Consider the following 2,000-nt stretch of genomic DNA (forward strand, 5'->3'; position numbering starts at 1 on the left):
TCATGTTCAATCTGATAGTTGTAATAAAGTATAAAAATAAGCTGTTCGAAATGTTTCCAATTGTATTATCTCCTGTAATTTAAATTAAGAAGTGCTTTACAATATTGGTAAGTTTCAATTAGTATGCTGAATCCATATGTTGTTATTTGATACAGAAAAGAAATCAGAAATACTGGGACAATTTTGAGAAGAAACGCAAAACACAGCTTGAGTCCTAAATACTGGTGTAAGTTCAATTGGTTCTATCGTCATGCACAATGAACAAGCTTGTACTAAATAAACTAAACCTATGATATGCATATCAGTGCCCTGGAAAAAATGTTTTGAAATGAAACTTGCTTTAAAGATATTGAAAATGAGATATCACCTGTTCATATTATGGTATTTCACTTTCTCTTACTGAACAATTAAAATAATATAACAGGGCAATGCTACTTAAATTGTGGCCCGTAGACCACAGCATCAGTATCACCAGAGAACTTGTTACAAATGCAAATTTTGAGGCTCTACCCTAGACTGAATGTATCAAAATTTCTGGAGATGGTGCCCAAAAGTCTATGTTTTTAACCATTTCCAGGATCTACAGATGATTCTTATATGCACCTTTGGCAAGGTGAGTAGGCGTTCTTTGGGCTTTAGAACCTCATCGCACATTGAAGCTCTACCACTTCTAAGCTGTGTCAACTTTATTGTCTAGTTGCCTCAGTTTCCTTATCTATAAAAAGGGACAATTAATAGGATATGCCTCTGAAAATTATTTTAAATATTAAATAAAGGTAGTAGCGTCTAATACCTACTTAACTCCTGATAAATATTAGCTATTCTTCTTTAAAATGCATAGTGTGATTACAATAACTAAAATTGAGACCTTTCATTGATTTATTTTCCTCTTTTGTATTTCCACTTTCACTGGAATTCATATGGTATGGAAATATTTGACTTGTACACTTTAAGTTAGTTGCTAAGACAGAATTTCTTTCCAACCATGCGAACACGAAGCTATTGTATAATATCAACTTTATATTCTCTGGTGGGAGAGATGTCTGTATACAAGACAAGTATGTGTAAGGATATGTGTGCATGTGTAAGCCAGTTGGCTTCCACTATATTTGTAGAGGGCAATCTAGGGAATCCCAGCAAGGTAAAACACTGAGATTGTTTCATTACTGCTCCCTTGTTTCTGTGGTTCCTATGACATGTCCATCCTCCATATACTGCTGCCCAGTTAATAGTTCTAGCATATTACATACACAAAATCCATCCTTCTTCCTCACCTCCTTTGTTCCCTCCAGAGTTGCTGACCTTCACAGCTACCTGGGTACGTATAAAAAAATATTAAATCTTTGTAAGTTAGGCCCCTTAAAATCTGTTCCCTTCTAACTTCCTGAAACCCACTCTACTACTTCACTGTAATAGTGTTCCCTTTGACACAGTCCAGTCTACAAGCCTTGGAACTTGCTATGTGTACTCCTATCTTACCCTCTTATCACTTCCTGCAACATGGATTTGTTGGAAGGGCAGATTTGACCCATGGTTTTTACTTGGACTTTGATATGTACTTTTATATAAATATATCTCATCATCAGTTTATCCATTATTTTTAGGTCAGAGACAAGATTATGTCTTTCATCTTTTTATATATTCAGGCTTTGGTTGTTGATGTCTCTCAGAAAACAATTTCAAAACTATTAAAATTTTGATAGTGCTTTTCATTTCATGAATTATATTTATGAGCACTTTAGTAATAATAACATGAGTTGAGTTCTTCCTTTATTGGAGACACTGTGTTTTATATAATCGGACTCATTTAATTTTAATAATTCCAGAAGGTAGGGGCTACTATCAGCCCCATTTTTCAGAGGATGAAACTTTCCAAGGTCATACTGATAACACACGGTGGTGAGTGGCTTGGAACTCAGGCAGTCTGACTCCTGTCACTCTCAGCCACTTTTTTTCACTACCTCTTAATGTCACCCAAGTGGACACAATTCGAAGGGGTT

This window comes from Homo sapiens, chromosome 3, assembly GCF_000001405.40.
Source record: "Homo sapiens chromosome 3, GRCh38.p14 Primary Assembly".
Lineage (NCBI taxonomy): Eukaryota > Metazoa > Chordata > Mammalia > Primates > Hominidae > Homo > Homo sapiens.